We start from the raw sequence: 25178 nt of genomic DNA on the forward strand, positions 1-25178 counted from the left end.
CCACCACTTTGGGAGGCTGAGGTGGGAGGATTGCTTGAGGCCAGGAGTTTGAGACAAGCCTGGGCAACATAGCAAGACCCTGTCTGTACAAACAATAAAAACAATTAAAGAAAGCTAAAGCACTTCTTTGACTGGGCACAGTGGCTCACATCTATAATCTTAGCACTTTGGGAGGCTGAGGCAGGACTGCTTGAGCCCAGGAGTTTGAGACTAGCCTGAGCAATATACTGAGATCCTGTTTCTATTTTTAAGAATTAAAGAAAAAAATTTTAAAAAGAAAGAAAAATCCTCAAATGTTATGTGTTTCAGGATAAGAGATGGGCAAAGTCATAGAAAACCTATTTAACAAAATAATAGCTGAAAACTATTCAAGTCTTGCAACAGATATAGATATTCAGATACAGGAAGCTCAAGGATCTGCAAAAAGATTCAAGCCATAGTGGTCTTCTGCAGGACACATTGTAGTCCAGCTGTCAAAAGTCAAAGACAAAGAGAGAATTCTAAAAACAGCAAGAGAAAAGCATCAAATCACATCTGAGGAAATCCCCATCAGACTAACAGTGGATTTCTCAGCAGAAACCTTATGAGCCAGGAGAGAATGGGATGATATATTCAAAGTGCTGAAATAAAATAAATTTAAAAAAACCTGCAAGGAATAATACCTTACCAAAAAACCACCCTTCAGAAATGAAGAAGAGACCAGGCGCGGTGGCTCACACCTGTAATCCCAGCACTTTGGGAGGCCAAGGCGGGCAGATTGCCTGAGCTCAGGAGTTCCAGACCAGCCTGGGTAACATGGTAAAACCCCATCTCTACCAAAATACAAAAAATTAGCCGGGTGTGGTGGTGTGCACCTGTAATCTCAGCTACTCGGGAGGCTGAGGCAGGAGAATCACTTGAACTCGGGAGATGGAGGTTGCAGTGAGCCGAGATTGAGCCATGGCACTCCAACCTGAGCAACAGAGCGAGACTCCGTCTCCAAAAATTAAAAAGAAAAAAGGAAAAGAAAAAGAAATGAAGAAGAAATAAAGTCTTTCCCAGACAAGAAAAACTGAGGGAATGTATCACCGCTAGACCAAACTTAAAGAAATTCTTAAGGGACTCCTAAATATGCATGCAAAAAGACAATATCTACAATCATGAAAACACATGAAAGCTTAAGACTCACTGGTAGAGCAGATGCACAAATGAGAAAGAGAAAACCCTGAAACAATACCACTATAGAAAACCACCAAACTGCAATGATAATAAGAGAGGAAGAAACAAAGCATATACACAATAATCAGAAAAAATGAACAAAATAACAGAAATAAGTCCTGACCTATCAGTAATAACCTTGAATTTAAACTGGTTAAATTCCCCACTTAAAAGATATAGACTAGCTGGATAGAAAAAAAGACCCAACTATGTTACCTACACAAAACTCACCTCACCTGCAAAGACACATATAGACTGAAAGTGAAGGGGTGGAAAAAGATACTCCATGCAAACAGAAACCAAAAGCAAGTGGGAGTAGCTATACTCATATCAGACAAAATAGACTTTAAGTCAAAAAGTTAAAAGAGGCAAGGTCATTATACAAGGATAAAGGGGTTGATTCAACAAAAATATATAACAATTATAAATATATTTGTACCCAACACTTGAGCACCTAGATATATAAAGCAAATATCATTAGATCTAAAGGGAGAGATAGACTTCAATACAATAATAGTTGGGAACTTCACTACCACAGTCTCAGCATTGGACAGATCATCTAGACAGAAAATCAACAAAGAAATTGAATTTAAACTGAACTTTAGACCAAATGAAACTAACAGACATTTACAGAACATTTCACCCAATGGCTGCAGCATACACATTCTTCCATCAGCACATGGAACATTCTCCAGATAGACTATATATGGCCACAAAACAAGTCTCATTAAAATTTTAAAAATTAAAATCATATCAATTATCTTCTTAGAATACAACGAAATAAAACTAGAAATCAATAGCAAGAGGAACTTTGGAAACTAAACAAGTACATGGAAATTAAACAACATTCTCGTGAATGACCATTGGGTCAATGAAAAAACTAAGAAGGAAGTCAAAATATTTCTTAAAACAAATGAATATGAAAACACAATACACCAAAACCTATGGGATACAGCAAAAGCAGGGCTAAGAGAGAAGTTTATAGCAATAAAAGCCTCCATTAAAAAGGGAGAAAGATTTCAGATAAACAACCTAGTAATATATTTTAAAGTACTAGAAAAACAAGAAAAAGCAAACCCCAGGTTAGAAGATAAGAAATAATAAAGATCAGAGCCAAACTAAATAAAATAGAAACTAAAAAGAAAATACAAAAGATCAATAAAATGAAATGTTGGTTTTTGGAAAAGATAAACAAAATCAATAAACCACTAGTGAGACTAATGAGACAGAGAGAGATCAAATAAAATCATAAACAAAAAAGGATATATTACAATTGATACCACAGAAATACAAAGGATCATCAGATACTATTGTCAACAACTATATGCTAATGAATTGGAAAACTCAGAGGAAATGAATGCATTTCTGGACATGTATAATAAACTACCAAGAGTGAACCAGGAACAAATAGAAAACTTCAACAGACTAGTAACAGGAAGTAAGACTGAGGCCGGGCGGGATGGCTCACGCCTGTAATCCCAGCACTTTGGGTGGCCAAGGCAGGCAGACCACCTGAGGTCAGGAGTTCATGACCAGCCTGACCAACATGGTGAAAGCCCATCTCCACTAAAAATACAAAAATTAATTAGCCAGTAGCCAGGCGTGGTGGCATGTGCCTGTAATCCCAGCTACTTGGGAGGCTGAGGCAGAAGAATTGCTTGAACCTGTGGGGCAGAGGTTGCAGTGAGCCGAGATTGCGCCATTGCACTCGAGCCTGGGCGACAGAGCCAGACTTCATCTAAAAAAAAAAAAAAAAGATTGAGTTAGTAATAGAAAGTTTCCCAACAAAGAAAATCCCAGGACTGAATGGCTTTACTGCTGAACTCTACCAAACTTATAAAGAAGAATGAATGGTAATTCTTTTCAAACCCCTCCAAAAAATTGAAGAGGAGGGAATTCTTCCTATTTCATTCTTTTTTTTTTGAAACAGAGTCTCGCTCTGTTGCCCACACTGGAGTACAGTGGCATGACCTCCACTCACTGCAACCTCTGCTTCTTGGGTTTGAACGATCCTCCCACCTTAGCCTCCTGAGAATCTGGGACTACAGGCATGCACCACCACACCTAGCTCATTTTCGTATTTTTTGTAGAGACTGGGTTTTTCCATGTTGTCTAGGCTGGTCTTGAACTCCTGAACTCAAGCCATCTGCCCATCTTGGCTGCCCAAAGTGTTGAGATTACAGGCGTGAGCCACTGCACCCAGCCTTCTATTTCATTCTGAGGCCAGCACTACCCTGCTACTAAAGTGAGACAAGAACATGAAAAAAACAAAAAACCAAAAACCACTACAGGACAATATCCCTGAATAACACAAAAACAAAAATTCTCAACAAAACATTAGTGAACTGAATCCAACAATACATCAAAAAGATAATCCATGATCAAGTGTGATTTTTCCTAGGGATGCAAAAATAGTTCAACCTATACAAATCAGTAAATGTGACACATCACATCAATAGAATGAAGGACAAAAACCATGTAATTATCTCAATCAATGCAGAAAAAGCATTTGATTAAATCTAACATTGCTTCATGATAAAAACTCTGAACAAACTGGCTATAAAATGAACATACCTCAAAACAACAAAGACCATATATGACAAACCCACAGCTAACATCCTACCGAACACGGAAAAATTGAAAGTCTTTCTGAGAGGTGACAGCATGCTGGCAGCCCTCGCTCGCTCTCAGTGACTCCTCAGCCTCAGTGCCCACTCTGGCCGCGCTTGAGGAGCCCTTCAGCCCACCGCTGCACTGTGTGAGCCCCTCTCTGGGCTGGCCAAGGCCGGAGCTGCCTCCCTCTGCTTGCGGGGAGGTGTGGAGGGACAGGTGCAGGTGGGAACTGGGGCTGAGCGCGGCGCTAGCGGGCCAGTGAGAGTTCCAGGTGGGTGTGGGCTTGGCGGGCCCTGCACTTGGAGCAGCCAGCCGGCCAGCGCTGCCAGCCCAGGCAGTGAGGGGCTTAGCACCTGGGCCAGCAGCTGCGGAGGGTGCGCTGGGTCCCCCAGCAGTGCCGGCCCACCGGTGCTGCGCTCGAATTCTAGCTGGGCCTCAGCTGCCTCCCGGTGGGGCAGGGCTCAGGACCTGCAGCCCGCCATGCCCAAGCCTCCCCCCAAACCCCCACCATGGGCTCCTGTGTGGCCTGAGCCTCCCCGATGAGTGCTGCCCCCTGCTCCGTGGTGCCTGATCCCATGGACTGCCCAAGGGCTGAGGAGTGTGGGTGCACAGCGCAGGACTGGTGGGCGGCTCCGCCTGCAGCCCTGTGCAGGATCCACTAGGTGAAGCCAGCTGGGCTCCTGAGTCTAGAGGGGACTTGGAGAAACTTTATGTCTAGCTAAGGGATTGTAAATACACCAATCAGCACTCTGTGTCTAGCTCAAGGTTTGTAAATGCACCAATCAGCACTCTGTATCTAGCTAATCTGGTGGGGACTTGGAGAAACTTTATGTCTAGCTAAGGGATTGTAAATACACCAGTCGGCACTCTGTGTCTAGCTCAAGGTTTGTAAACACACCCATCAGCACCCTGTGTCTACCTCAAGGTTTGTAAATGCACCAATCAGCACGCTGTGTCTAGCTCAAGGTTTGTAAACACACCAATCAGCACTCTGTATCTAGCTAATCTGGTGGGTACTTGGAGAACCTTTGTGTCTAGCTAAAGGATTGTAAACACACCAATCAGCACCCTGTGTCTAGCTCAAGGTTTGTAAATGCACCAATCAGTGCTTTGTGTCTAGCTAATCTAGTAGGGACTTGGAGAACTTTTGTGTCTAGCTCAGGGATTGTAAACGCACCAATCAGCGCCCTGTCAAAACGGACCAATCAGCTCTCTGTAAAACAGACCAATCACCTCTCTGTAAAATGGACCAATCAGCAGGATGTGGGTGGGGCCAGATAAGGAAATAAAAGCAGGCTGCCCGAACCAGCAGTGGCAACCCGCTTGGGTTGCCTTCTACGCAGTGGATAATTTGTTCTTTTGCTCTTTGTGATAAATCTTGCTGCTGCTCACTCTGGGTGTACACTGCCTTTATGAGCTGTAACCCTCGCTGCGAAGGTCTGCAGCTTCACTCCTGAGCCAGCAAGACCACAAACCCACCATGAGGAATGAACAACTCCAGATGCACCGCCTTAAGAGCTGTAACACTCACCATGAAGGTCTGCAGCTTCACTCCTGAAGCCAGTGAGACCACGAGCCCACCAGAAGGAAGAAACTCCGAACACGTCCGAACATCAGAAGGAACAAACTCTGGACACACCAACTTTAAGAACTGTGACACTCACTGCGAGGGTCTGCAGCTTCATTCTTGAAGTCAGTGAGACCAAGAACCCACCAATTTTGGACACATTTCCTTTAAGAACTGGAACAAGACAAGGATGCTCACTTTCACCACTCTTACTCACATAATACTGAAATCTAGCCAGAGTGGTCAGGCAAGAAGAAAAAAAGGCATCCATATTAACAAGAGGAAGTCAAATTGTCCCTCTTAGCATACAATGTTATTTTTTTATATAGTAAGACTTTAAGATTCTACCAAAAAAAGGGTAGAATGGATAAAGGAAGTCAGTAAAGTTGCAGGATACAATATCAACATACAAAAATCAGCAGCATTTCTATACGCTAATAATGAACTAGCTGTAAAAGGCATCAAGAAAGCAATCCCATTTATAATAGTTACAAAAATTACCCAGGAAAAAATTAACTAAGGAGATGAAAGACGCTTACAAGGAAAACTACTAAATGCAGATAAAAGAACTTGAAGAGGACACAAACAAATGGAAAGGCATCTCATGCTCATGGATCAGAAGGATATTTTTTAAAAGAACATACTCTCCAAAGCAATCAACATATTCAATACAATCCCTATCAAAATACCAATGACATTTTTTATAGTAATAGAGATAACAATCCAAAAATTTCTATGGAATCACAAAGACCTGGAATAGCCAAAGCAATTCTGAGCAAAAAGCTGGAAGTATCACACTACCTGACTTCATATGTACTACAAATCAGTCCCAGCTACTCAGGAGGCTGAGTGGAAGGATCTCTTGAGCCTAGGAGTTCGAGGCTGCAGTGAGCTATGATCACACTACTGCACTGCAGCCTGGACAACAAAATGAGACCCTATCTCAAAAAACAAAAAAGAAAAGAGAAGAAAAGAATAGTTACATTTATAGAAACCATTTTATCCTGAAGGAATTTGCAACTCTTTCAATAAAACTATGAATTCAATTTATTAATAATTATTATAGTACTATGGAAGTTATTTATTCCATCTTGAGTGTTTTGGTAGCTTATAATTTCCAAAGAATTGACTTATTTCAATGAAGTTGTTGAAATTATATGTGTAGTATTGTGTATAGAAATTATGTATTCATATTCTCTAATTATCTTTTAATTTCTGTTGGATTTGTAGTGATAGCCTGTTTATTCCTAATATTGGTAATTTGTGTCTTCTCCCTTTTTTGTCTTACTAGAAGTTTTATAGTTTTATTCATCTTTTTAAATAACTAAGTTTCAATATTTTTGTTGGTTTATTTGATTTCTGCTCTTTATTATTTCCTTTTTTTCTGCTTGCTTTCTGTTAATTTTGCTCTTATTTTCTTGTTTCTTAGGGTAGAAAGTTTAGATTCTTGATTTGAGAACATACTCTTTCAATTATCTTAAAATTGTGAAAACTTATTTTATGACCCAGGATGTGGTTTATCCTGGTGAATGTTTCACGTGCACTTGAAAAGAATGTGCATTTGGCTGTTGTTGGGCAGAGTATTATATAAGTGTTAATTAAATCTAGTTGGTTGATGGTTTAGTACAGTTCTTCTATATCCTTGCTGATTTTCTGTCCATTAATTCTATTGATTACTAAAAATGGCATGTGGAACTCTCCAACTATAATTGTGGATTTGTTGATTTTTTCTTTCAGTTCTGTCAGTTTTCGCTTCATGCATTTTGAACCTCTGTTGTTAAATGCATGCACATCTAAGTTTGTTGCATCTTCTTGGTGAATTGACCCTTTTATCGTGATAATTTATCTCTGGTAATTTGCTTTGAAGTCTGCTTTGTTTGATATTAATAATCACTGTGGCTTTTTGATTAATGTTTTCACAGTATTTTTATCATTTTTCTTTTTTTTTTGAGATGGAGTCTTGCTCTGTCACCCAGGCTGGAGTGTAGTGGCATGATCTCGGCTCAGTGCAACCTCCGTCTCCCAGGTTCAAGCGATTTTCCTGCCTCAGACTCCTGAGTAGCTGGGATTACAGGTGCCCACCACCATGACTGGCTAATTTTTGTATTTTCAGTAGAGACGGGGTTTCACCATGTTGGCCAGGCTGGTCTCAATCTCCTGACCTCGCGATCTGCTCGCCTTGGCCTCCCAAAGTGCTGAAATTACAGGTGCGAGCCACGGTACTAGGCCATCATTTTACTTTTAACTTATGCATAGCTTTATATTTAAGATGATTTTTAAAATACAACATATAGTTGGGTCATATATTTTTATCCTGATATCTCTTTTAGTTGATGTGTTTAAATCATTTGTATTTATTGTAATTATTGACATCTTTGTATTTAGGCCTTCTATTTTGTTATTTGCTTTTTCTTTGTTTTTCATTTTCTGTCTTCTTTTGGGTTCTTTGAACATTTTTTTCTTGTATTTAAATTATTGTGTTTTTACTATATGTCTTTTAGTCATTACTCGAGATTGGAATAGATGTTCTCAATTTTTTGCTCAGAAATAATAAGAAATATTCACTACTTCAAGTGGAATGTAGAAAGATTATTATGTAGTTCTTTTTACCCTCCCTCCTCTGTATTGAAACCCTTTGAGACTCTTTTACTTTCAGACTCTTTTACTTTCAACAATCAAACATATTTTAAAGTACTTAAGAGAAGAATAATCTGTCATGTTTACACAATTATCATTTTTTGTTGCTCTTTTCCAGCTCCTGATGTTCCAAGAGTTCTGTCCAGTTATCATTTCCTTTGTCTGAAGAACTTCCCTGAGCAGTTGTTGCAGAGCTGATTGCTGATGAAAAATTCTCTTAGTTTTACTTCATTTGTGAATTCTTACTTTTACCTTCATTCCTAAAGGTTATTTTCACTGGACTTAGAATTCTGAGTTGACATTTGTTTTCTCTGAGCACTTTAGAATGTTCTGTCTTCTGGCTTTCATGGGTTTTGATGCAAAGTTCACAGTCACTTGAATCATTGTTTCCGTATAAGTAATGTGTTATTTTTTTCCGGACATTCTCTTTTTTTTTCTTTTGCTTTTAATTTCAGTAGTTTGGTTATAATGTCTAGGAATGAATTTCGTTGAATTTGTCTTGCTTGGAGTTTCCGGGGCTTCCTGAATCTGTAAGTTTATGTTTTTCTCCAAATTCGGAAAGTTTTCAGTTTTTATTTCTGTAAGCATGTTTTCTGCACTGCACTGTCTCTTCTCTTTCTCTGACTCAAATGGCACAATTAGACATTTTCATGTGGTCCCATACATCCCTGAGGCTGTATTCATTGTTTCCAGTCTTTTTTCCTCTGTGTTGTTTAAATTGGCTATTTTAAAATGTCTGTCTTCAAGCTGATTCATTCTTTTTCTGTCATCTCCATTCTGCCATATTGAGCCCATCCAGTGAATGTTTAAACTTTTGGTCATTGTGTTTTTTTAGTTGTCAGATTTTCATTTGGTTTTTCTTTATATATTTTATTTCTTTTCTGAGACTTCATACCTTTCATTTGTTTCAAGTATGTTCCTTCTCACTTTTGGAGCACTTTTATATTGCTGCTTTAGTCTTTCATAGATAAGGTCAACATATGTGTCATCTCAGTATTGGCTAAGATTTTCCTCATAGGCCAAGTGTCTTGACTACTTCAAATGTTATAACACTGGATCTTAATTCTATGGAGAGTTTTTTTTTTTTTTTTTTTTTGCAAGCATTTGACTAGATTGGGTTCAGAACATGTTTTGACCAACCTTCTATAGATTGTGGTTTCAATGTCTGCTTGGTTTTCCAAGACACTGTCAGGCTATTCAAATCTGTTCTGCATGTGTGCCACCCAATGGGCAGTCTGGGACCAGAGCCACGGACTCTTTTCTGAGTTCAGTTCTCAAAGTTTATGGCATACTGCGTAGGATCAGATCTATGCATGCGATGCTCAGGGATGAGTCTGGGCATTCACAAACGACTTTACCACTGTCTTGAGCTTCTCCATCATCACCATCTCCCTTGGTATTTTTCATTGCCCTGAGGCCCACATTTTAGGTTTTCCAGCCAGAAATCTCAGGCTTTATTTGCCTCTCTCTGACACACACTTGCTGCAGCTACTGCACCTGCATCTAGGACCAATTGGTGAAAGGACAGAGAGAAAATGTAGTGGAGGTTCACCCATACTCTTGACACCCCCGCTCCTCCAATCAGAGAGAAGCTTCCCCCATGTCTATGGGCCTCCGCTGTTAATGCTGCCACTCTCAGGGGGCCCCTTCCCACTCCTCGAGGTGAAATAGAGGTTTCTTTTGGATGCGCACCTCTGGACTTTCAACTACCTGAGTCAAGGCGTGGGGATACCAGAGTGGAAAAGGGAGGTGAATTCTGCCAGTTCAGTGGCCCTCCAAATTTTGTTCTTCTCCAATCTGGCTGCCACTATTTGCTTTTCGGCTCCACATAGCTGCTCTATGCAGCCTGTGCAGGTTCTCTAACTGCTCCACTTACTTGGATATTTTACTTATTTAAAGAAGAGTTCCAGTTAATGAAGGAATAATAGACTAAGAAGTCAGCATTTTTTTATTTAACGTCACCAAATCTTATCACTAGAAGTAGAATAATCAAACACTATGTGTCCCCCATTAGATGTAATAGAAAGTACCTATGAGTTAGTCTTGCTTAAAACAATTGAACCTGAATTTAATTAAGCCTTTAGTGCTACATGCCAGCTTCTAGGAATTATGAGGCCTGAGAACAAGTAAAGTGACACCATGAAGAACTAGCCGCTAAATCCAGGTTGTGAGATATCCTGGAGTACAAATAACCTTTTTCTTTAATAAATAAATAGCATTAAAAAGAAGGGAAAACTATTATAGAATGGAGAGACTTCAGAAACACAACACATAAAGGGGGGATAAGTAATAGTACTCACGAGATTCTTAAGATTCAATTAGAAGAGCAATGTGAAGTGCTTTTCACAGTGCCTGGCAAATGGTCAATGGAAATGATTACTACCTTGTGCCACCTCTCAGAGTCTCAGTCTCCTTTTGTTTGTAACACACTAGGAGATGACAGCCTCCCCCTGTCTTAACAGTTAAGGAATTCAGCCACCTTAGTCCTCCATCCCTCTGCACCTGGTCAAGAAGGTGGCCTTGGCAGTATCTGCTGCAGTGTGCACAGTTGGCCGGTAGATGGCAGCTCAGGCCAGTTTATCTGGAGCCTTGGACCCAGGAAGAGCTAGTTCTGTTTTTGCTGCAAGAGGCTAGGTCCTGCTTGACCACCCATCAGACAGTATTCACCTTCTCTTCCTAGGTAGGAGGGATAAAGCTAAAGGAAGAGAATCGGTGGAGCTTTTTAGATATAATAAGGGCTAGCAGTTTGCTGAGAATTCCTTATCTGCTGGGCAGAGAGGTATTCTTCAGACCCCATTAGACCAGGGCTTGGGCACTGCCTGGCCAGCTGTCCCCAAACTCTGTTTCTCATCCCGTGAGTCCCAGTGCCTGCTGCCTCATCCTGAATCACTGGTGTGCAGGTACAACCTGGCTTAGCTTCTCTTCCCACCAGACTGAGGGAATTAACACCTACACACTCATCCACACCTGGTGTAAGATGTCCTTGAGGGAAAGTTTGCAGAATGAGTAAATAAGTGAATGCCTTATGGATCTTCAGTTATATATCTCTCTTCCTAAGTAGACCAGTAAATTCCAGGACAGGGTGTACACATTTTCTTTTTGTCTCAGCCTAGGAGGGAGTCTGGGTAGTGATGAATCGTGCAAGCCTGGAACTAGGTTGCTCAGCTTCAACTCCCAGTTCCATCTGCTTGCTACCTCACATGCCCTTGGCAAGTGCCTGCCTCTCCGCCTGAAAATTGGATACTAACAGTACCTCTCTTGTTGTACTGTGGTGAGTAATAAATGAGCAAATGCATTCAAAGTGCCTAGGAAACTGCTTGACACATTGTAGGCACCCAGTACATGTTAATTGCCATCTGAAGCTTTCCTTGCAGTGGGAAAGATTTAATGAACTTACAAAAATGCATTCAAGGAAGAAGTGTAAAAGGCCTAGTGTGGTTGTCTGATAGAGGGAATGGCTCTCAAGAAATAGCTCCTTCTCCTCCTCCTTGTTCTGCTTGTTATTGCTGTTAGCATCATTGATTGTTTAAAGATGCCTAAGTTAAATCTCTCCAAGCCCCATGAGTCGTGAGTGCTGTTTTGTCCACCTTTTTCCAACCTCAGGCACAGCAGCAGCCTCTGTAGTTGTCTGTATGGTGCTGGGGGCACCACATTCAGAACTGAAGGATCCTCTTCACATTGGCCCAGGGAGCAGAGGGAAGGTAGGGACTGCTAGAGCTAATTTTCCTGCTTTTCCTTTCTGGTGTGAGAGTGTGAGGTGCTTTTAGGGCATCATCTGAGAGTCATTGCTGAACCTTGGGACTGTTGTACAGGTCGAAAGGGTTCTCCTATGGAGGTCGTCTGAACTCTAGGAAGTACAGGAGCAGGACAAGGGATGAGCATGATCTTACCTGATCTCACCCATGTTTTTCTGCCTATCAATTTGGAGGAATGGGAAAGTGTGACAGGTGGCCACTAGGTGGCGTTATCAATGTGAAGAAATCAGGGGTGTGTTAATACATCACCTGTCCTGTACAGTAGAGTGGAAGAGCAGATAAACGCCTAGCTGGAGAAAATAAAGCTTCTCATATAAATGCTTCCCAGCCATCTGGCAAGATTTTGGGTGGAAATGGAGACTAACCCAGGAGAATGTGCATGGTGTGTGCATGAATATTTAAGAAAACCAGAGGAGGAGGAGGAAAAGTCAAGTCTACCTGATTGGCCTCTGCCCACCTGTTCAGCCCTAACTCTTAAGGCCCCTCCCCTGGCTCCCCCACGATATGCCAAGCCACCCGCAGGACACATTGGTACCTTAACTCTACGACACCCTCCACCTGGAATGCTCTTCTTCATTTCTTTCTTTGAACAGTTAAGGGGTTGCCTTCCTCTAGAAGCCTCTCCTGATTTATCCTCCCCTAGGCAGAACAGGTTTGTAGTTTCTTTGTGCCCCACAGTCTTTACCTGTGCTCCAAGTCTTTGCCACTTAATGGACTTAGATGTTTACCACTGAGTGGGGGTTTCCTGGCTTGGAGCTGGTGGGAAGGTCTCGGCTGGTTCTATCCAGTCCTGACCCAACATGTATGGAAGGGCTTTCCTGCCCACAGCTTCCCCACCCATTTGGGGGGCTCCAGGGCTCATCCTCTGCCTCAGGTTCTTGAGAATGTCCTAGAATGCTGAAAGTTTGTTCACACTGGGTAAGCAGTGTGGACAGGGCTGCCTCCATAACTTGCACAGCCCAGTACAAAGTGAAAACACAGGACCTTGTTCAAAAATTAAGTGTTTCAAGATGGCAACAGCAGAGCATTAAACCAAGAGTGGGCCCTAAGCGCAGGACCCTGTGTGACTACACAGGTCGCACGCCTTTGGAGCCAGCCCTAAATTTGGAGTTGAGCGAAGTCTCAGGTGAGCCTTGTGCCTGTGGATGGGTGACTTTCTGGGCACTGGAAAGGTGGTTGTCCATCTTCAGATGTCAATGTATGAAGCCTGTCACATCAGAAACTCCCTCACTCCTGAGCTTTAAGATGTAAGATCGATAGCCTAGAACTTGGAGTTAGGTAAATCTGGACTGATGCTGATTCTATCATTTAATAGCACAAACCATCTCTGGGTCTTATAAAGCTCATCTGCAAAATGGAAGGTAATAATACCTACCATGAATTTTGTTGTAGGTTCAAATGAGATTAAATGTAGGAAGTACTGGGTCTGCAGCCCACACCTATCGTGTCTACTGAGCCACACTGCTTGTCCTCAAAAGCATCTGATTAGAGAGAACAGGGCAGATGTTGGGCCTAACAGTTGGGTGGCACTTGCTCAGTGAGGTGGGTCACCATGTGATGAAGCCCCAGTGAGCTCCTCCTGAGCTCTGTGGTCTCAGGCAGCATCAGCTGAGTCAGGCAAGAACTGATGGGGGGAACTAGGGAGACCTGGAGCAGCTCTCAGATAACAACATCACCATGGGGAGATCCATTTATCATTTATCTAACAAACCTGTGTACAAGGTTCCTGTGCCAGGTACCAGGGATACGGTGGTAAACCAAATAGGTGGGGTCCCCCCACCCCGCGTCAGCTTTAATGCACGTGATTATTGTGTCCTGTTCTCTTGGATGCATCCTTTGCTAGCCAATAAGCAACCAGCATTTACTAGGTGCCTACTGCGGCGTAGGATATGAGATTTCAGTAGATGCTGTGAGACTCCTTCAACCCTCTTGGATGGAAATGAATGAAGCCTGTGTGCTTTCATTCCCAGCAGCTAACACCTGGGAGTCTTTGTAGGCAGGCTGTCCTCAGGCTGCCAGAGCTCATTTTGCCTGAGTGCACGGAGAGCCAGAAGTGCCTGGGTAAAGACAGTCCCAGGAGCAGCCCTTAACTGATGACTGGCAGGTGCAGAGGTGTCAAAAGCCCAGCTGCCTGCCCCCAGGGGGAAAACTCCCAGGTGTGACTTGTTATGTTTCCACAACTCTCCTGCAGGACTTAGCCAAAATTATTCTCTTGGAACTTTGCTGGATTTTCACACCCTTGATCGGCCCTCCCTATTTCCTCTCCCTCATCTCTATTTGTGTACCCATTTTCCCTGGGACCACTTCCTAGTAACCTACTTTCAGACACATCCTTATCTCAGGATCTGTTTATGGGGAACTCCCTGACCCACAACAGAAAGAGGAGAAAAAAGGAGGTAGCAATTGTTCCTGGTCTTTGTGTTACTACAAACAGTGAAGCAATGGGCCAGGAGTCAGTCATTATGAATACTAAAGTACTACTTGGCAAATTATTTTTGCTATAAATTAGCATGCCTTCAGAATTGTCCCTGTAACGTGATCTTTCTCTTTCTTGCTTGCATTCTGAGATGCTTTATGAGTGGGGGAAAAAGAAGAGGTGTTCCTGCGTGCTGGGATTTGCAGATCACCGCCACCCACGTCATCGCAAATCTAGGCATACCTATGGGAGTGGGTCCTACATCAAACATCAACCATTGTGGGTTTTGCAGTGTGAAAAAAGTGGAGACATGCTGGATTGGAGCCCCAGGAAATTTTGGCTTCATGCTTACTGGACTTGGTTTCCAGAAGTGAGGCTCGGAGGCCCAGGCTCCCCCAGGTCCACATGAAAAACACACTTTCCTCTCACCTGATCTTTTCTCACTAAATCCACCTCTTCCAGGAAATTTTCTCGGGTTCCTTCCTCTCTTCACTCAGCCCTCCCTGAGTTCTCCTTTGGTACCGTGGAAAGCAGGTTTTGTTGGAGCTACTTTCTTAGCACTTGGGTACTCCCCCTCTCTCCACCCCCAAGCCAGCTGGAGGCGCTGAGTTTTTAGCCCAGATCACAGGCTGATAGAGCACATTAGGAACCTTAGCCATGGGCAGGACGTGGGGGCTGGGGCTGGTCCTGCTGTCACAGAATCATGGCTATGGGCAGGTGATGAGATTGTGTCCCCCAGAGCTTGGTTCTCCCCACCACCAAACCCATGTGAGTCGAGTGTGGACACCAGGGCACTTGTGTCCATCTCACTGCCACGTTATCACCTTGCCCTGCTTGTTCCTCTAGCCCCTCTGCCTAGACTGACACCTCCAGGGTCTGGACCAGACTCTTGGGTGTTGATGGGATTCTGCTGCCAACAGAATTCTGCTCCTGTACCATCCAGTCTGCACCCTCACACTCCGTAGTGTTGGAGCCCTGGCTGCTGTAAAACTGGCAATGTCTCAGACGCCAGACTGAGCTCAAGCTAATGGAGCCTCTTGAGTCCACTGGGTGGGCCTCAGGCCACCTCTCTGAGATTTCTGGGTTCTAGCAAGCTTGGATGCCGAGGCTTCTGGAATAGTGACAGAGAGCACATGCTCCTTAGTATCACAGAGTCTGTTTTCTGAATCTTTCTAGACTCCCTGATTGAGTGGTGATGCTTATCAGCAAAGGGTCCTGTCTTACACCTTCAGGTTTTCTGAGGCTGCTTAGGCTGGGATCTTGTATATATGAAGTGCTCATTAAATGGCTGTTGACTGATTGTAATTCCTCCTCCAGGCCTTGTCAAGGGCCTGGCTATGGTGTTTATTCATACAGTCATCCATTCTCTACTCATCCATTTACTCACTCATATAATAAATATCCGAATCTGAAAGAATGACCCCATTTCCTCTATTCTCATATCATAGGTTGTTACCCTAAGAACTTAGATATTCATCAGAAGGAATTTCAAAGCTCTACTGCGTCTTGGCCCAGGTAACGGGTACAATTCCTAACTCTGGTAGTCCTGGGAGTGGGCTTATTTTGAAAGCTCTACATACAATGGCAGCTTCTGACGTTCTTTGGGACAGGATGGGCTTGCAGATTACAGGGCAGATAGGAGAATGCTTCTGTTCTTCTCCTTGGGTTTAAGGCTGCATTGCTCCTGAGAAGTGATATTCGTCCTTGCAAGGTGTGTGCGTGTAACTCCACATATATGTTTTGGATTCTTGAAAGGGTGAAGAATGTATTTGCAACTCCTATTGTCCATGAGACATTGGAAGGGGGCTGGTCTGGGGGTGGGAACTGGGGCCCACCCTGGGGTTATTCCAGACTGATTAATTCAGGCTTGAGAAATTAATTGCTAGATTGCCTGACGCGGGCAGGGGTGGGCCCTTGTGTATGGATGGAGTTTCCCAGGGTCTGGGGAGAGATTTCTAGTGTGAAGGTTGGAAGGAGAGCCTCCCACAGAGGTGACTATGAGGACCAGGAACAAGGTCAGGGTGGGATGTGACCAAGCGGGAAGCCCCTGTAAGACGTTTAACGTTTAGCTTCTTAGACGCTTCTCTGGATATGGGAAAGAAAGAGTAGTACTCACTTTTAAGGTCTTTTTCCTCCTATGTTGTAATTTTCTCCACAGCCTCTGATGGATCAGGAAAGTCCTAATTACCCACACAACTTTGAGGGCAGGATTTTAGCGGGACCTGAGGACCTGGGGCTGGCGGGGAAGGAGAGGCCCTGGTTCTTACCTCTTCCTCCTTCCTGAGGGCCTTGCACAGCTGCAGCAGCTTTGCGAGGAGAGTGGCTGAGGTGGTGTGGGTGGGGGGCAGGGAGCGGGCAGCCCGTTCAGAGGAGGCGTGGCCTCCATTCGGAAGGGAACAGGAGACAAGGCCCTCTTTCTCAAATACATCAGAGGGAGTGGGATCTTCGAAGAAAGCAAAAGCTGACCTTAGGGTGACCCACGGCTGAGAAGCTGTTTTGGGTACTGGGAAACACACAGGAAATTAGACAGCCTCGTTGGCCTGGAGGAGCGCACATGTAAGAATGATCGAGTCCTGAAAGGGCATGTGCATGGCAGATGCTTAGGGAGTGCCTTTCCAGAGGGGAATGAGCAGCAAGAGTTTATTTCAGCTGGGCTCAAGGCAGCAGCTCGTGCAAAGGCCCATGTGGGTCAAAGTCTAGAAACAACTGTGGGCTGGTGCATGACCCATGCAGCAGACTGTGGCTATGTGGGGAAGAGAAGGGGCATTGATTGAGCGTATTGTCATTGATTGAGGGTATCTGAAGTGCCAGGCTCAGTGGCTTATTCTGTACAGTATAAAGGATAGTGTAGTTGGCAGCGGCTCTCAAGCCTGATGGGGCATCAGAATCACCTGGGAACCTGTTATCATTGCAGATTATAAGGCTGCACCCAGACCCACTGATTGAGAAATTCTGGTGGTGGAACCTAGCAATCTGTGTTTTAATAAGACTTCTGGGTGATTTGGATGCAGCCCAAAGTTCGAGAACCACTGGTGTAGTGGAAACAGTACTAGACTTTGGAAGGTGGGGTGGGCTGGTGGGGGAGGGAGGTGTGACGGGGACAACTCATATTGGGCACTGGGGAAAGTCTGCTGTGTTCTGAGTCATGGGCTACATTACTCGCATGTTCTTTCAAGTGCTCTAAGCAGTGACTGGGGGTGGTGGTGGGGGGTCTATATCACCATAATCTCAGCATAGATGGAAAATCCAAAGCTTAGAGGGGTTAAATGACTTGCCAAAGATCACACAGTACTAGAGCTGCATTCTGCACCAAATTTGGCTTGATTCCCAGAGCGAGATTGTCAGTGCCTATTGGGACCACTGACCCACCAACGTGCAATGGTCTGGGCAGCAAGGCCTGGAAAACCCACAGGGGCCTGGGTGGAAGGAAGAGCCCCAAAGCTTGCGGCTCCTTCCCTGAGGACCTGGTGGTGACCAGTCCTGAGGCTGATGGGCGAGAGATGAGGACTTCTATTCTAATTCCTGTCCTCAAAGGACAATTATTTGAATTTTCATAAGGTTTGCCATTCACACCAGGGAGCTGGGCTTAGCACGTGTACTCTTTCAAGAGACCAGCTGTTGTCCCTGACTCCTAGGGCTGATAGGTTCAACATGAGGTTAAGTGAGAAAAGCAGGGTGAAAAATTACCCGTATGCTGTGATGACAACACCTTAGATAAAAAACAACAACATTAAGAACACACAGAGGCGGGGAAAGCCCGAAGGAATTTTCTTCCTTTCTCATTTCCCAAGGTGTATTATGTAGTTACAATTATTTGTATGATGAATATACAGTCATTTATTTTTAAAGTGCAACGGCTCACATCCCTTGTGGAAGGCAGTGGCATGGTGGATGACTCTGTGTGCCCAGTGGTGGAGCAAGGCTCCCTCCTCTGGGAGGGTTGGGTTCGTTGGCCCCTTCAGCCTGTCCCTGAACGAGGGCAGCAGTGGGATGGGGAGCCACGCTGCACTAGTGATGTCAGAGGAGCTGTGATATTTATTCCTGTCATGCAATTGCAAAGTCAAGCTTCAGGGTCTTAGAGACCCTCTGGACATCCCTCTTGACAGAGCTGCAGCCTGGAGGGATTTAGAGGGACCCTGGGGCCTAGGACTGAGTCCTCTCCCAGGTCATCCTGATAGCAGCCAGCAGGGAAGTGCAAACCCAGGATGGCTCGGGGGCTGGGACAGGCAAGAGGAAGCCTTTATCTCCAAGCAAAGGCCACCAGACACCTGTAAACACAAAATAGTCTTTATTTGTCAACGAAGGCTACACGGGATCACTTCTGGTTTTGTTTTTATGCTTTTTTTTTTCTAGAAGGTATCTACATCTGCATTTATTTACAGCCTTGTTGGTATTTACACAGTCAAGATACAGTGTTAGAAACACAAAAGTGTTGAGAAAAAAACTTCTCAAAATTAGTTCCAGACTTCAGGAAAATGATTTCCACATGGTAAGGCCAGAGTCTCCAGTGTTGGTCATCCAGAAGCAGCTTGGTACAGACTCCTTTTGCCGAAGCTGCGGGTTCAGAGGTGCTCAGAACAACAGGTGGATTTAGAAAAGTGGGATTCTGGTGTTGGGTGAATCCAGGGCTGCTGGGGCACCGCCAGACACCTGAGGCTCAGCTCCTGCCAGGACGGCCGAGCGTGCTCCAGACTAGTCCTCCCTTGGCTGTTCGCCCTCAGAATAAATCACATTTTCTTGGGGACCAGGAGGTCACCTAGTACCTTGCCTTTGGCATTCCAGAGGGGGTAAGAAACACAACATTGGCCCTCGCCTGGGCCTTCCCACACTCTGATATTCCACATTCGTAATGAAACCTAAGAGTCACCACTGTCTAGGGCAGTCAAGTACACAAGGATGGTTTTTGTGAATGTGAAGGTTGGAGAGGATAAGGTTTCTCTCTATCACCTCAGCAATGAGTCTTTAAAATGAGTTTGCTGTTTTTGGAAGGTTAAATGAAAGGGCCTTGAACTGCAGAGTTCTTTTTTAATTCCCTTTCCTCCAGTAAAATATAGACAAGTGTATAAACCTAGCTGGGAATGATGTGCCTTAAATAGAGAGGTTTTCATTCTAACAAGGACCCCAAGGGAAAGGAAAGACTGGGTTCTTTCTGGGATCCCTCAGGAGATGTGTCCCCGGGCCAGGTCTGGCTCCTGGGCTTAGTGGCTGCCGTGAGGACTGGAGAATAGCCTGGACTTTGAGCAGTGGATGCTCAAATCCCCAAGCCTGACACCCTGCTGAGAGCTTGAAAGCTCATTCCTCCTGGGCAGAAAGCTCAGCATCACCGCCCTCACCACATGGCCACCACAAATACAAGACTGCAAGTGGTAAAACTGCATTCTAAGATTTCACATTGAAATCTTAGATTCCATTTGCATAATGGAAATCCCTGCCATCTATAAAGGTGATACTTTAAAGTTGCAGCTGCGAAGATTTGTTTTTCTTCTTTTTTCAAATTCTGATTCTTTGTTCTGTGTCTACAAAACACTGCCCAGTCTGCCTTGCCATCATCTTCTGTGCCCCCTCCTGGTTATTTGGACACACACCTCCTGGCCATTCTCACCCTCAGTCAGTTTCTTAGGGATCGTTTCCAATCCTCTCTCCCTAAGTAGAAATCAGGCACTGGTGTGGTCCTTGGGTTAATTCTCAGCCAACAATTCTGAGAGATGAGGGTCAGAGGCTGACAAGGCAGTAATTTACCTGCATGCCTTCCCCTTCCTCCAGTCTGCCCTCCAGCAATGTCTGTTTGGGGTGTGGGGGGGTGGGATAAAAAGGAAATCTCATCCTACAAAAAAACAAAGTTGGGGAATCAGTAAAGTCCTATTTAAGGTGGTGGCAGAGGGGCTGAGGATGTAGGACCAGTTGGCAGCTGTGCGGGGTAGGAGAGAAGGCAGGAACTGTAGGATCATACACCTGGGCAGGTGAGGGAGGCCTGGTCACTCTATCGAATGAACAGATTTGGTTGGTGAGTGTCAAAAGGGCCGGTCCTCTCAGGATGGGAGTCGATGCTTGGAGCCTATTACATAGGCACAGGGTTAGGCCTTCACACTCACCCTTGCCATGGGTTTGTGACTGCTGGTCTTAGCAGGAGGACAGCTTGAGGAGGGAGTCACTGAGTCACCTGCAGCCCAAATGGAAACCAACTCAAAAGGGCCAAGGCCAGAAGCACCACCTTCAATACAACAGCACCAATGTGGCAGTGAGGCGCATAACACTGCCTGTGCCACAGCTGAGATCCTTTTTCTAAAGCTTCGGGATCCTTCAACTTCTCTCCCCACAGAAGCTGGGCTGCTGTGGTGGTATGTAGCACAGGAAAAATATAAGATCCTTTAAAGAAACAAACACTCAGTCCAGGCGCAGTGGCTCACACCTGTAACCCCAGCACTTCAGGAGGCCAAGGTGGATCGCCTGAGGCCAGGAGTTTGAGAACAGCCTGGGCAACATAGTGAGACCCCATCTCTATGAAAAAAAAAAGAAAGAAAGAAAAAAATAAATGAAACACCCAATAATTCTGTTTTTGATCCCTAAAAGTCCACCCTATTCCTTTGGGGAGGGGGCTGTGGAGGAGGGACAGGGCGTGGGGGAAGCGTAGGGAGCTGGTTCCTGTGGACCGCATGCCGTTCCTGACCTCTGAGCAGACATCCCCAGCAGGTCTTCACTGATGTCAGGCAGCCAGGATGGGACTGATCAACTGGGCAGGAGCACTTTGCCCAAGGGCCCTTGGTATGAAGAGTACATTTTGAGAGGCGTAAGTCCCTTCTGGAGGACAAAACTTGTGTTCTTCAGGCCAAACTGTTTTCCATCTCATCCAAGAATGATCCTGCCAGATGGGAGCCCCCATCTCCAGCTCATGCCTCCCACAGCAGGCCTGCAGAGCACTGTATCTGACTCAGTAGAGCTCTGGATCCAGGGGCAATGGGCAACCAGTGGACAAGCAGGCCAAAGCGCACTGCTGCAGCAGGGTGGCTTTTTTTTTGGAAACAGGAAGAGCACTTAGCGAAACACATCCTCTAATCCCAGTGGGATGACGTTAAGGCGAAATCTCCTCTCCCCAAGAAGTTTTGGTTGCCTCCCTCTGCCAGGCAGAACCCAGACTACATGCTGCTCCGATCCTCATGCAGTCAGACCTTCTCAGTTTCATTAACTTGTGTAATATTCTGAAGACTATGTGAGTAAGGCTATAGAGGTGCCATGAGCTTATCAGTCCAACAAGGTTTCCACGGGGAATAGCTCAGACTCAGAATTCATTTTCCACACTTAATGTAAATGTAACCCATAAAAGTTCCATTTTCTAAGAAGCCCAGCTTAAAAGGAAGCATTTGGCTTCCCCTCCCATCTCCCAGAGCCTCCTGTGAGTGGTAATGACAATGGTAATTAGGCGGATGAACCAGGAATGGAATCCTTGAACAAGGGGCTCCCAGCTCTGGCTGTGACTCCCCCTGCCCTCACTGCTCCCCCAGCCTGCTGGCTGCTGCCTCAGCTTGGGCGTGCTCTTCAGGTGTGGGCTGTCCCTGCTTCTGAGAGGGCTCAGGCCTCTCCCTGACGACACAGGCACAGTTCTTCACAGGAATCATGCCAGCCTGGCCTCCCAGATCTACGGGCACCCACCTTGGGAACTGCCCTGCTCCTGGTGGGGTTGTATGATATGGGCAGGCCACACCACATCAGCTCTTCCCTCCTTTCTTCCTGTCACTAAAAAACACATTGGGTGGGCTTCTCTAGAGGGGAAGCTGTTTCAGAACTTCAGGAATTTCCTGGAAGCCCAGCCTGCCCCAGTCCAGCTCTGCGATCAGCTGGTACATGGAGGCAGATGGGACTTTGGGAACTGGTTAGAAGGATGCTTAGCTTATGCCTTCCTCTCTTTGGCTGGCTTTTTTTGTTAAGCATTTTTCCAGAATCAAAGGCCACCAAGCACCTCCCTCCACATTCCTACGTCTCAGTGGTGGCGGCTGAGTGGTGGAGGGAAGATACTCAAAGTCATAGAGAGAGGGCTTTGCCTCGGAAGGCAGGCTGGTGCCCTCGCCACCACTGCCATGCCTTTGCCATGGGTGGCCTTCTGTTCTGTGGACATGGTGCCCACATTGAAGGCTTGCTGTGCAGTGCTCGTTCTCACATCTGGCTTTGGGAGAAAGGAGGAGATGAACAGGAACATCATGGAGGACCAACCAATCACAGGCATCCTGGGTGCTTTCCCTCCCGGGAGGATGGGACTCTGAGCCCAGGATGTTATGTCACTGGTCTGGGGGAAAGGACCTGGGAGACACTTTCTCTATCCCAGCATGGGGGTGGCACCGACAACTACACAGGATTTGCAAAAGTGGTAGGGGGTTTCATTCAGCATCAAAATAGAAAGCTTGAACAGGAGTTTGGGGCAGCTTAAAAAAGGTGCTGAACAACACCATGAAATTCCCTGGAGCAAGATGAAGCCATCTATGATCCTCTGGAGGCAGAGAACAAGGTGAGAAGAAATCCACCACTCTTCTGCAGGAGCCCTGCCAAGGAGCCTCAGGTCCTACAGACCCTCCTCCCAGGCCCCCTTGGAAGGGGTGTTGTACTGGCCCATCACTCCCTTTACTCCTGCCCGACCCCAGTCGAAGAAGAAAGGGTTGCACATGAGACAAGTTAGCACAGACATTCATGTCCCACATCACACTGGGTACCTAGGGACAGACGAGGACACACCCCAGGAGATGCATCTCAGAGAGGAGATACATACCCCAAACGACAAGGGAAAAATCCTCAAGGAAAAAGGGAACAAAAGACAATAAAGTTTTCATTGTGATCACACTACAGAAAAAAATACCTTCTGTTCTTTGCAAAAAATGTGCGAAGGCCAAATCTGTGTTTTTCTTTTCTAAAAAAAAGGATGTTGCATGAGTTACAATGCAACCAGTATCTTTTTGTTTCTGCACTTGTTAAAAAATCATTTTTTTAAAAGTACAACACAGTCAGGTATGCGGCCACAAAAGAGTAGCTGTCTTTGGCAAGAAGTCCTTGGTCCTCTCTGTCACCTCCGGCCCATCTCGCTCTGTCTCATGAAGTGGATGTTGTTGGCGCTGTCTGACAGTTCTGGGTACTGCTCGACAGAGATCACGAAAAAGCCGTCGTAGCCTTGCACCCGCCCTGTGCTCAGCACCTGCTGCTTCTCCCCCTCTGTCCAGGCCCGCAGGCCTTCCTCCCCTTCCCGCAGTCTCTGCTGCTCGCGGGCCCACGCTTGGCGCACGGCTCTCTGCCGGGCCAGCTCCAGGACCCGTGCCTTCTCCTCATCCAACGTTGTCCCGTAGCGTGTGTTCAAGCACAGTGCCCCGTACTGGAGCTGGATGTCTGTGTAGCGTCTAGTCCTGCCATTAAGTACTGTGTTGATCTGGGACACAGTGACGTTGACCCCATTCTCCAGGGTTCGCCGCCCCCCACTGAGGCCCAGGATGGCCAGGTCACCTTCTGAAGGTCCTGGTTTCACAAAGTAATGGGTATCCACCCCATCAATGGTGAAGTGCAGGTTCTCTAGGTAGTGGGCATGGTTCAAGATGGCAGCAACCCTTCGCCCATCCTCATTGGCCACACTGATGATGTCTGTGGTCACTCGGCCATCCTTCAAGGCAAACTTGACCCCCTTGCCAAAGACTGAGCCGCTGGATGCAAACTTCTTGGTCTTTGGAGCCTGCTGGCAGCTGGTGATTGTGGAGCCATAGAGCTGGTCAAACCGTTCTAAGGTGACAAAGGCCTTGAGCTGCTTCTGTACTTCACACTGTACCCCGAGGATAGACTGATGGGGGAGGAGAGTGAGAGAGAGAGTAAGACAAAGGGGAAAAAACCCTGAGAACCTGGAGAATCAGCTTAAATAATGAAGTCAAAACCACACATATTTATTAACCTGCGGCATGTAGCTCTACCGCTGACCACCAGAACATCCAGGTGGTCGCCAGAAGGTCAGAACATCTGCTGACCTTCATCCATCCATCCACCCACCCTTCCATTTAGAAACTGTTCAGGGGGTATCTAATCTGTGCCAGGTCGTTTTGTGAGCACTGGTGACAGAAAAATGAATCAGACATCATCCTTGCTCTTAAAGAACTCATCATTTAGTTGGGAAAGACAGATATGACAACAATAATTGCAATCAAATGTGATCACTGGTGGCCTAAGAGAGGAACTAGTAATAGCCATAGCTAACATTTCTTGATGTTTCAGCCAAATAATTACCACTCATTATCTCAGTGATCTTCACAATCACCTTATACGGTAGGTGCTGTCATTATTCCAATTTCATGTCTAAGGAAACCAAGGCTCAAAGAGGTTGTCACTGGCTCACAGTCATACAACTAATAACAAGTCAACCTGCAAGCCCAGGTCTGTCCAATTCTAGAGGTTCAGTTTCAAGGGCTGCTGGAGAAGGAAGGAGCAAACAAAGCTGAGAAGAATCTTGGCTTGAAGGTGGAGGAGGTGGGGTTTGAGGACAGGCTCAGGCTTGAGTTGGGACCTGAAGGATGGGTGGGGGTGGTGGGATGCCGTCAGATGGAGGATTGGCAAGAAATGCATTCTTGGCAGGAAGGCATAACATGGTGAGAGGCAGTGACTGTTATTAACCCTCCCACCCTGCTTCACTGCTCTCCACTGCATTTACATCTGATTTCTAAGGAAGGCCTCTGCCCCACCGTGCTTCCTTGGGGCTCCTGGGGTGCCCCTACTCTTGGCTGCTTTAGGGGACAGGTCGGGCCCTGCCAACTTGGCGTATCATCTACCTGTCCCTTCTGTGGCTCACAGAGCTTGGAGAAGCCACACTCAGGAAGGCTCCAGGGCCTTATCAGCAAGTTAGGGAAATGGCTTTAGCAACAGGCCTATCGGCTTCTCACTGAAATTAAGTCCTCTTTATAATTAATAGAACCCTGTCTGTGAACAATTATTTCCTAGAGTTTCACGAAAGCTGGAGTGCTCAACAACAAAGATCTCCGAT

The 25178-nt window shown here is 45.5% G+C and overlaps 1 protein-coding gene across 10 annotated transcripts in view, besides 1 other annotated feature; it reads right to left on the reverse strand.

Moving 5' to 3' along the window:
• Nucleotides 16574-17073: an enhancer, noted in NCBI's record as "H3K4me1 hESC enhancer chr11:78362445-78362944 (GRCh37/hg19 assembly coordinates)". NCBI's record gives its function as "activates a minimal SCP1, AML or CMV promoter by ChIP-STARR-seq in naive H9 embryonic stem cells {active_cell/tissue: H9 hESC(naive)}" and the evidence as "EXISTENCE:reporter gene assay evidence [ECO:0000049][PMID:30033119]".
• Nucleotides 18003-25178, reverse strand: part of TENM4 (teneurin transmembrane protein 4) — a 788202-nt gene continuing 781026 nt past the window's right edge. For all 10 annotated transcript variants that reach the window (XM_047426739.1, XM_047426737.1, XM_047426736.1 and 7 more), the window contains one exon: nucleotides 18003-23990. In XM_047426739.1, the coding sequence (XP_047282695.1) occupies nucleotides 23232-23990 (759 nt within the window). In that variant the 3' untranslated portion in view covers nucleotides 18003-23231. The remainder of the gene's footprint in view (nucleotides 23991-25178) is intronic.

Source organism: Homo sapiens, chromosome 11 (genome assembly GCF_000001405.40).
Source record: "Homo sapiens chromosome 11, GRCh38.p14 Primary Assembly".
Classification (NCBI taxonomy): Eukaryota; Metazoa; Chordata; class Mammalia; order Primates; family Hominidae; genus Homo; species Homo sapiens.